Genomic DNA, 11,886 nt, shown 5'->3' with positions numbered 1-11,886 from the left:
TGTATATAAATGAAAGAGGACAGACTCTGGCACATCCTGAGCTCTCAATAATTTTACTGCAATTAATACTTTTATTAATATTAGAGAGGCAATCTAGAGTAGTAGTTAAGAGTATGAACTCTCAAGCCTGACTATTTTGGTTCATCTCAGTTCCATCACTTCTCACTTATTTGAACTCACGGGAAGTTACTCAACCCTTCTGTGCTGTTATTATTCTGTTATTATTCCTCAAATAACAGGTTTGAGATCAGGTAAAAAGACAGAGTACAGAGTCACTTCACATAGTGTAGACATAAACAGGGGCTTTGAGGGAGCTTTTAGTGTTAAAGGTGATCATGTTAATACCACATGCACATATCATTTGCCATTGTCAGGCTATAATCAATCATCTCACCACCTGCACTCTGATGATTTAACTGTGGCCCATCATGCAGATAGATTGGGCTTACTGGAGTCAACTATACTGACAAATCTTCCCTGCCACACTCTATCAGGGGATGTTTAATCTTGGCTATTGAGGACATTCAATGCTGCAATTTCTTTCTAAAGAAAGCTATTTTAATTATTTTCATTTCGTTGATTAGGTTATCTGTCCTTCACTAACAAATAATAAAGATAAAATGCTAAGTACTTCAGCAAACTTTTTTAGTGAAATTCTGTTCATTCAGAATTTTACTTAGTGAAAAATGAGGACCAGGTGTCCCTGTTGGGGTTAGGCGGTGGGGGTGGGGGGTGGTAGTAGAGGGACAACAGAAAGATAATGTGAGCAGAACCTGATGTGCTTTATTAATGAAGTGCTGTTATAAACATAACACACATCACCATGGCATGGAGTAACAAGTTTCACACAATGACAGAATGTGAAACAGGAAGGCACTTTTTGTTATCCAGGACGCTGGGTGTTGGGCTTTGAGTACACTGTTTCTGTCCTGTATCTGTATTTTTAAAATGAGATTTAAAAATAAAGAGCTCAGAGAACATTCAAAAAATGGTGTCAAAAATAAAGAAGTGGAAAAATACAACTTCTGGGCAAGCTGAATGGATTTTGCTCATATAACCAGTAAGAGGTTAAAGGGTCCTAATGGCATTATATAATTCTGATTTGCTGCTCTCTGTCTGTTGATACAGAGGAATCCAGTAGAGGAAACATACAGAAAGTCCAAAAAACATTTTTATGTAACAAATAATGTCCTGATACTGAAGACTATTAAATTCTAGGAAAAGCTGCTAAGAAAAACCAATAAATTTCTATGTCTAGAGACTGACAATAACTATAAAATTGACGTATTTAGATAATTATGAGTTGGGCATTCTTATCCCTGGGAGCTGGAAACTGGTCCAGATAACCTTTAAAAGTTTCTTTTTGATCTACGATTCTAGGAGCAAGTTTCTCAATTTAATAGGCAAGAATTATAGAAAAGTACATAAGAAGATAAAAAAGCATATTAAAGTTCTTACAGGAAATTTTTCAAAGTATAAATGCTTGAATGCTTCCTGATTCTTCCAGAGTCCTGAAAAAGCCCCAGGTGGCAATGGTAACCTTATATAAAAACAGAGAAGTTAAAATTATGATGAAAGTGGTAATAAAGACAGGTTGATTAGAACTATTATTTTTCTACTGTGACAGATAATTACAATTCAAATCCTACATTGAAATATAACCCCTAAATCTGCTGGACAGATCATGTCTAACAGAGGTTTATGTAGCTGACCATTGTACAGCAGAATTGTTGAAGAATGACTTTAGTCTCTGGAAAGTGCACAAAAGGCACAAGTATGTGGAAATCAAATAACTATTAGCAATAAGCATTGCTTCAGTGAAAAACATAATATCTGCAAAAAAAGAACCAAAAAACGTGTCATTGAATTACTTTCTTAGAAAACTATTATTTCACCATTGAAAAGTTAATTTATTTTTTGAAGTACTAAGATATTGTCATCTTTGCCTGTCTCTCTGTGTAATAGAATATTCTAATTAAGCACCCAGTGTAAAAACTTATTTCATAATCAATATGCCTCCCTCCGCTGGGAATTCTCTCTCACTGCTTCCTCCTCTTTTTTCTTCTCATAATCATCCAGACTTATGCGATTTCTCACTTCTATAAACACATGGAAATGCTTCAGCGTAGAAAATATACAGAACTATGTATCTTTTGTTTTCAGCAAATTTCCTCCTTATACTTCTTTCATTTATAGGGTCAAACAGGTGTTATATGCATGGCAAGGGCTTAACCTCTATCTATCTCCTTGTTTATCTAACTATGTATCTATCTGTGTTTACATAAATAAATGAAATTCTCATATTTGTTCCTTGTAGGAAGTGCCTACTAACAAAGACAACCACTCAAATTGATTTCTGAACACAGAAACCTTTTAGATCCTTTAGTTTGGAATTTTCAATACTGTAAAACATAGGGGCTTTCAAAACCTACACTCCCACATTTACACAATAAAAACATACTAAATGGAGTTGTAAATTCGTAGTTCTCATGCTGAGAAAATTGAAAATGAAGCACAGATGGCTAGTGTCCACATAAGATGACATCTCACACATTCCCCACAAGCAGGATTTTCGGGTCTGACAGTACAAAAGAAAGCAGTGTGGTCACATGGCCACCTCAACATTAGAACTTCATGGCACTGAATTTTACTCTCACATTCTGTCAGGAACAAAATGCTGTTACAAGTGGAAGCAGCTGCCGATGCCTCTTTGGGCAGCCCAGCAGATATCGCCCACTTCTATAATGTCCAGCCTCCCAGTAGTGATCCTGCGGAGTTCTCCTTTGCTAGATGCTCTTTATTTCAAATTATTTTAAGACAGAGGAAATATACTACATCAGTATTTCTGGACTTCATGTAATTACATAAAATGCACGTAAGGGTATTTTAATTAATCTGTAAAATAATCCAGAGAAATGCTGTTGTGTTTTTGCTGTTGCTGTTGTGATTATTACTGTTTGCTAAATCTGTATGAAGGCAATAGGTTGAAGCCAATAATCCCTCTGGGTTCTCTTAACTGAGCTTATTATGTAAATACTTGTAAATAACAATACAAATAACATCACTACATCAGTTTGTTTTAATTGTTAATATTTGACAGAAAAGTGTAAAATCATCGATTTTTTAAGCATTGAAATAGAATATGACTATAACAAATACTAAAAATCAACTTAGCAGCACTTTCAGGATGCTGAAGGTGAAAAAGCAAAGAGGATCTTAGGAAAAAAGTGGCAAATCACATGTCAATATGGACAAAGAGAGATAACATTAGTGAGTGAAGCAAATTGTATGTAAAATAAATGATAATAAACCTGATGAAGATTCATTCTGCTTGCATATTAAATAAGAGACAATTTTCAGTTGCTCCCAAGAAATATATAATGATATATAGGGTTTTTCTGTATTTTATGGTGCCATTTTTGACATATACATTGGTATTGGAAATTATTGCTCTATTATACTAAAGAAAAAGAAGAGGTATCTGTGATAATCAATGGCAGCTGACGTTTATGATGGATTGAGGGAAATAGAGAATGGTGGAGTCTGAAGCAAATTACAGTTTACATGCCAGGTACAAGGGGAACAGCTGTTTCTTAGTTCCACCTGATTGCTGGTATACAGGAGTGCTGATCCAAATATCTGAACATGTAATATTGCCCATGATGAGAGCTATGCATATCAAAAAATATATATTAAACAGGTATTTTTTTCCCATTTTATGTACCCCAAATCAAACATTTTGGTCCACCAGCATCCACACACTATCTGCTCACAGCAAAGACTCCTAACTGTTTGCAATCATAACCTAAATGAGTTAGTATTTAGTGCTCTTTACAACAGCTGAGTGTCCTGGTAGCCTAGTATGTACCTAATCCAGAGTGTATAGATAGGACCAAGAGGACTGCATTTTACAGAAAGAATATTACTAGAGAGAAAGGGAAAATCTCATTCTTTCCAGAAGTCAATTATGTTAGCAACTTCTATTTTTAAAAGAAGATGTCCTGCTAACCTGCATTTCCTCCTGCTTCCTGAGAAAAAATAAGGTGCTAGCAATTTGTAATAGAGAGAATATATTCTTATAATTAATTGATGCCTACAGGATGAAAGCATACGTCGTCTCCCAGAAAAAACTAAGCCTTAAGGACACAGGCTTCCAGAGCTGTTGCACAAAACTTTAAATATCTGCACAAAGTTCCTGAAGAACAAGGACAATACACATTTTCATACCATCACTCATTCTTACAAGAAAGGTCTGAGTAAGTTTATATATACCTGTAGACCCTGGGGATTAAGAATAACACACCATGGGGTGCATGAACACTGAGGACTCTTTTGAACCCCCTGAAATTTAACGTAGAACTTGTCTGTATGTTTCCCAGGAGAATGTCTTTGGCTTTCATCTAATTATTCGAAGGTTGGTAACAATCACCAAATATTAAAACCTCTGTTCAATGAAAAGCCCAACCTAAAATGTACTTCAGTGGTAAAAATAGGTCATCCTAATCATATCAAAAGTACCTTTAATCTTAATCATTAAGAATAGAAAATCTCAGCTCTTCACTTTCTCTCTGGAATTAAAGCCACCCTTATAGAGGGACATCATATGTCTAGCTGGTTCCCTTTGGATTACAGAGGTGATTGCTATTAAATATGACACATGGTGCTGGGAAATGGCAGCGAAGAGAATAAGAAAAAGAGTGAGAAGTGGGGGAAGAAATAAAAGAGATAAAACTAAAAGAATGAGGTCCCAGAATAGTGAAAGGATAAAAGCAGGTGATGGTATCATTCAAATCGTCCTGTAGAGGCATCTAACAAAGAATTCAATATATGCAATATGTGGTAGACATTTTGTACAAAAGAAAACATGAGAAAGGAGTAAGCTCAAAGAATTTGACATGCAGAAACTGATCTATGATTTTGATCTTGAAGAATAGGTTCATGAAGCTGAAAAAGGAATAAGAAGGAAAGACACTTCATGCTGTGTGACCAACGTACCTAAACCCTTCCTTCCTTTCATGCGTTTCTTTGTTTCATTCATTCTTTCTATTCAGTCAGTTAATCAGCAAATAGATATTGATTTCTTAAAATATGTAAGGTATAGCAATAAGGGCTTCAAAATGAAGTGAATAATGAGTGCACAAGTATAAATGGTCTGCTCAGTCTAATCAACACTTGTGTGTGTGTGTGTGTGTGTGTGTAAATAGTCCTCAACATTATGAATAGGTGTGATGGTTAATTCTATGCATCAATTTAGCTTGACCAGGGTACCCAGATATTTGGTCAAGCATTCTAGGTGTTTCTGTGAAGGCATTTTTTAGATGAAATTAACATTTAAGTCAGTAGATTTAGAGTAAATCAGATTATCCTCCATAATGTGAATGGTCCTCATCCCATCAGTTGAAGAACTTAATAGAAAAGAAAGTCTGACCTCCCAGTAGGAAGAGGGAGTTCTGCCTTCAGACTCAAACTACAACTTTTCCTGGGTCTTCAGCCTGCTGGCCTGTCCTGCAAATTTTATACTTGCTAGCCTTCACAACTGCATGAGCTAATTCCTTAAAACAAATATTTCTCCCTCTCTATAGATATGTGTGTATGTATATATATATGTGTGTGTGTGTGTGTGTGTGTGTGTAAATCCTATTGGTTCTATTTCTTCGGAGAACCCTGACTAGTACAATGGGACATGTTAAAGCCAAGTTACCAAATGTGTTTTAAAAACAAAAGATGTAATTGGATCTTTGTTCTAGAAAGAGTGCTAAAGCTGGTGTGATGAATTGGATAACAAGAAGCCACAGTTTAAGAGGATGAAAATTAAGTGTGAGGGTTGAAGAAAAGAGAAAAATCAAAGCTGACTCTTTGAAAGTTTCTATAGAAAGTTTATATTCTAGATGGAAACAGAAAGTTTCTATTCTAGATCAATAGTGATGCCAACGCAAAGAGCGCAATATAGTAAAAGCAGTATTTTCAGGAGAGGTGGCATTTTGGGATTTGTAGAAGTAGAGAGGTGACAAATAATTTGTTTAGTTACTGAGTTTTAGCAACCTGTGGCATCATAAATGGAGTTATCAAGTAATATGTCAATAAATATATGTCTGAAATCAGAAGACAGATGAGCCTGGGTGGATATATTGATATGCTCACTATGTGTAGCTAGGTAATTACAGAAATCTTAGAAATTGGTGAGATGATTCGTGGAGAGAGTATAAAACAGGAAAAATAGTTCTACGGCTAAATATCAGTGTTGCAGAAATATCAAAGAAAAAACTCCACTGAGGAAAAAAAAAGAAAAGAAAATCAGAGATATTATGAGAACCAGGGGAAAGTAGTATCTAAGAAGCCACTAGAATACAGTTTTAATAATGACCTAGTATTAAACAAGGTTAAATGAAGTGTAAATTTTGTTTGAAAGCAGATGCAACAGTGATCATGGAACTTAGTAATTAAGATGTTTTGAGTTTTCTCATGATTGTCATTTCAATGGAGTGGGGAAAGCAACAGCTAGACTGATTAAGAAATAAACAGGAAGTAAGTAGAGACAGTAAGGTTAGACTATACTTTTTAAAATTTGTGGCGATTGGAAGGAGATGTATATGTCAGTGGCTTAATGCACAAAGGCAGGTTGATTTAGTATGAGAAAGATTTGAGTGGAAGTAGCCAGTGGAGAGAGAGGATGGAGATTTGAACAGTAGAGAAGAAAACACCAGAGGAATTATTCAATTGCCTTGTTTATTTACTCTTTTATTTATGCGTTAACACAAACATTCATTTTCTTCCTTCGATCAATATTTGTTAGGTGTTTGGTATTCCTCATGCACTGTGCTACACATTAACGATACAAGGATATAAACTATGATCACAGACACGTGGAGATCCTAGCACTTTGTGAACTACAAGAAAAAGAAATTTAGTATTTTTAGAATACTGATAGGGAAGATAGTGAATGATGTCTACTCCATTAAGTTAATGAAATGACATCAAATGCAACGATTCAAGTGTTCATCAGGTGAACTTTACAGAAGGTAGTTAAACTCTGCCTTGCCAGTAGTGCTTGGAAGAGAAGTTTTTATCCCCATCCAAGGTGTGGACCTGCTGGAAATAGCATGTGTGTTTGTCCCAAGTTATTTTTGAGATGCTCTCAGAAAACTACTTCATCATTCACAAGTCTAACTGAGGATCAGTCTGAAAAGCAAGATATGAAATTGCAATTGGTAATTGATAGGATAAAATAAGTGCATGCTTTCTGTTCCTCACTAACAAGATGTGGTATCTTAAAAAATCAGATGTGGTAATTTGGATATTGAGAAAAATCTCTAAAGAAAGACTCATAAAGGAAGACATACAATATTCCTAAAGAAAAGGGGAGAAGAAAAAAGGATTCATAATTGGAATCATGTGTTTTTAATAGACACACACATACAGAAACACACACACACACACACAAAGTAGTTCCCCTTTATCTACATGGAATATGTTCCAAGACTCTCAGTGGGTGCCTGAGAAACCATGGTAGTACTGAACCCTACATATAATAAGGTTTTTCCTATACATACATAGCTATGATAAAGTTTAATTTATAAATTAGGCACAGTAAGAGATGAACAGCAACAACTAATAACAAAATAGAACACTTAGAACAATATGCCAGCATCAGTACTATTGTGCTTTAGGGCCATTGTTAAGTAAAATAAAGGTTGGTTGCACACAAGCACTGTAACACCTAGACAGCCGATCTGATAACCAAGACGGCTACTAAGTGACTAACGGGCAGTAGCGTAGAAAACATGGATGCACTGGACAAAGGGCTGATTCACATCCTGGCAAGACTAAGCAGGACAGTACAAGAATTCATCACCTATTCAGAATGGTGTGCAATTTAAAAGGTGAATTATTTATTTCTGAAATCTTCCATTTAATAACTTTGGACTATGGTCGACCACAGGTAACTGAAACTGCATGAAGTGAAACTACGGATAATAGGGACTACTGCATGTGCATACACACACACACACACACACACACACATGTGTGTGTGTGTATATATATATGTATGTATGTATATGCATATATATATGTAAACATGTGATAAGAAAATGTGATCAATGAAAGAAAACATGGGGAAAGAAGCAATAAGATCCAGATAGACATTAGGTGCATATGAGCTACAGCAGATTTTTTTGGTTGCAGTATTCCAAATTAACACCTTTCTTCTTATTGCTAAGGATTATTACACATTAAGTGAAGGTCTTCCTTCTGGAACAGTGGGTGCACTGGAGCTCTTTTTCTAAAGTTATAGAAAAAGAATATTTTTTTCTGTAGTTATAAGAATGTAAAAGTGCATTGGATTGGCAGAAGGAAGGGAAAGATGCAAAAATACTAAGAAATGAACTAGTTAATACCTATACTCATCCTTCAAATTTGAAAGCAAATGCTATCACCACGTGATACCTTCCCCAATTCTGCCAAGCAGAGTGAAAGAGGGAGTTTTGGTACAACTCATCCAATTATGAATTGAGAGTCCTCTTAGAGAATTCCCTTTCCTAAAAGATCATTCTGAAGGGGAAAGGTGAATAATTGAGGCAGCAGTGACAGCCATGTGGGAAGGGAAGCATTAGAGTGCTGAGCAATCCTTAAATAACTAGGGCAGGACAAAGGATGTCCATCACCCTGGAAAATAATACATTCCTGGCCAATCGAAATATTACACTCCTAGATGCCTCCTATCCTAGATAAAAGATGGTCTATTTTTCACTTCTCCATCTGGAATTTCCATAGCAATAGAAATAAATTGAAGCCTGTTCCCTAGAGAGATCTGGGTTAAATCCCAACTTTGCACTCTCAGTATTTCCTATGGGGTCCTTAGGATTTTCTCGAGATTTTCATATGAAGTTATTTTTATCTCCCCAGAAGAGATTGACCATAATTTCTTTCCCTCAGGGCAGACAAAAGACTGGGCAATAATGTGAGTTCTAGCTGTGCAACTACTAATGTTGCATACTTTGTTATGTCTACAATGAGGAGGATAATGTCTGCCCATTGCCTAACTCATAGTGCTGTTATAAGGCTAATAAAATATCACACTCAAAACTGTATATGAGATTTAGAAAGGAGCAGGATTATAATTATGTGACATGCTTAGTTATACTCAAAGGATACCCAGATGAAAAGAAAGCTTCCTTGGCTCTTTCCCAAGATGGCAACGCAGTGACTGAATCATTTACGTGAAGCTGTAAATATGTGAACAGGCATCGTTAACCATATCTGAAGAATGAGAAATTGTCAGGCACTAAAGTAAAAGCCACTCAGACAATTCCATACAACTCCCTTGCACCCCACCATGGCTTGCAGGACACAGCACAGGGTGAACAGGCCACACTTCCAATAGCAACAATGGATCTGGTCAGAGGAAAACGTTTGTCCATCAGAGAGAAAGAGCCAGAGACCTATGGCTTTAATAACAGTGAGCACTGTGCTAGGAAGAAAGGCAATTGCAGTTAAAATTTTCTTTCATGCCCTGTTCTCTGTTGCCTGGAAATTACTGACTCATAGTTTTATTTCTGCACTTTGGAGCTCTGGATGCAATTACACGAATACCTTCTAAAATTCATCAGTATTTTGTGTGCATAGGAATTCAGATCCCTTAACTTTCTTACTAAATTAACTGCCTGGAGTAGGTTTCCAAATCAAAAGAATTTTCTAACATTCATGTGGACATGAAGTTCTCACTTCTACTAGAAAGATAAATTCTATGAATGTAAGTAATCTAATAAAGCACTAAAATTGCAGGATTCCTTTTTATTATATCTTAAGACCTATAGTAGTTTAGGAAGTGCTAAAATGGCCAACTTCTAGTCAAGGGGTCCCCAGGAGAACAAATCAGTGATTTGCGGACTGTCATAAAGAAGAATGTAGAAAAATCTAGGTGGATCAAAAGGTTCTTTGGTTTTTGTTTACTTGTTTGTTTGTTTCCACATATTACTATTTCTAAATATGAACCTACACAAATGAGTCTTAAGATCTATAATGTGAAATGTTATAGATGTTAAATATAAAAACATCCTACACATACTGCAGGCAGCCATTGGAATATGTGAATCCTTTTTAAGTTGATAAGTTAGAGTGGAATGGCTGCTGGCAATGTGGGTTTCAAAAAGAAATTCTTGCTCTTATAGATAAAAGGAGTTTCTGAAAAAAGGTTTCAAAATCTGTTTTGTTAAAGAGAGAGCAGGAGAGAGAGAAATCTTGGTGGTAACCTTTGTTTTCCGATTATTTCTACCTTACCTTTCTAATACAAAAAGATTTATAATATATTCAAATATCTAGTTTCACTGTTAACCTAAGAGAGGAATCAAATTCTACTGTTTGTCATAACATATTACATCATCAAGTAATTTATAATGAAATCTCAGAACCCTGGATCTGCACAATAAAATTCTTTTAGGAATACAGAGGGAAAAAATAATTGTGAATTGGTGACAATCTAAACCATAGAATGCTTTAAGGCAATAGTTGTTACTTTTAAGTATTTGAAATAACACTAATGGCTATAAGAAAAAAATTACAGTTTATGTGGGACACTGCTATATTTTATTATCTCTGAATGGATGTGGGGTGAAGCAGCCCATAATTAGAGTGACAAAACCCATGAGGAGTTTAAAACTGTGCTGGCATCAAATGCCACCTCTGAGATCTTGTTTTATGAAATAGATGACTCACAAAGTTAGGAGGTTACATAAAAATGTATGCTGCTAAAGTGCTTTGAAAAGCTCTCAAAAACCATTCTATTCCCTAAGCAAGCCAAACATCCACCCACAAACGTGTTCAAATTATTAATTTCTTTAGCAGCCCTTCCCTTCTTCCCCTGCTGCTTTTCCCTTGAACAGGTCAAATTTGAACCAGCTCTATGTTAACACAGATTCTGGCTCAGAGAACTGCGAATACAAATGGCATGTTCAATATTTAATTTTTTCATCTTGATGGATATGTTGTTTTAAAATGGAAACTTTTAACAAAGTAATATAGTGCTTACATGTTTACTGATAAAAGCATGAGAAGAATTACATCATAACTTGTATGCTTTCTATTAGCTTTCTATATAGTTAAAATATCTCTACCTGAAGAAACATCCTCTTTTTAACTACTGTTTTCCATGTAATTTTCATAGAATTTAAAATATCTTCTTTACAGGAAGCAATCTTATACCAATCTCAGAATGCCAAGTAATGAGTTCTTTTGACTTCCAATAGAAATAAATACGAAAGCAAATCATTTTTAAAACCTGATGCTCTGTATTTATAGTAGCTCAATCTGGTGAATTCTACTACTTAAACTCTATCAGTAAAGATGTCAATATCATGTTAATCAGAGGGACTAAAGCAATCTCTCTTTCAATTATTAAAATGTCACATACTGTGAACCTTCTAACTTAATCAACTTCCATTTCTGCTTCCACTAGCATATAAATTTTAAAGTACACGTCTTGATGTAATTAAAGTAAATTTAAATATTTTCACTTTAAATGATAGCAGTTTTGCCTATCAAATGAACAATAATTTAAAAAAATGTTAACAAGAAGATGGGATATTTGCTAAGTCAGGAACTTTATAAGATGATACTGTTTGACCCAGTAATTATACTTCCAGAAATCTCTTCAATACTATTGCTATTATCAGAAAAGCAGAAAAACAAGACGAAAAAATATTTAATATGGTATTATTTATAATCATCAAAATTCAAAAAATGCTAAGAAGCCTATACTGGGGATGAAAATTTTAAGAAACAGAGTAAAAATTAAATGTGCTTATGAGACAAGGTTAAGGGAAAACAGCAATACACAAAAATAAATTGATTCGCCATTGTAAAATGTTTGTCAAAAAGTGGAAAGTCAAA

General features: G+C 35.0%; 1 protein-coding gene across 5 annotated transcripts in view; it reads right to left on the bottom strand.

The window, feature by feature from the left end:
• ACSS3 (acyl-CoA synthetase short chain family member 3) overlaps positions 1–11,886 on the bottom strand; it is a 183,340-nt gene that overhangs the window by 28,614 nt on the left and 142,840 nt on the right. For all 5 annotated transcript variants that reach the window (XR_944720.4, XM_047429549.1, NM_001330243.2 and 2 more), the window contains one exon: positions 1,459–1,540. Coding sequence is in view for 4 of the 5 variants with exons in the window: in XM_047429549.1 (XP_047285505.1) it covers positions 1,459–1,540 (82 nt within the window). In the remaining variant the exon portion in view is untranslated. The remainder of the gene's footprint in view (positions 1–1,458; positions 1,541–11,886) is intronic.

Source organism: Homo sapiens, chromosome 12 (genome assembly GCF_000001405.40).
Source record: "Homo sapiens chromosome 12, GRCh38.p14 Primary Assembly".
Classification (NCBI taxonomy): Eukaryota; Metazoa; Chordata; class Mammalia; order Primates; family Hominidae; genus Homo; species Homo sapiens.
The sequence above is the reverse complement of the archived record's forward strand: the minus strand, read 5'-3'. Positions and strand labels throughout refer to the sequence as shown.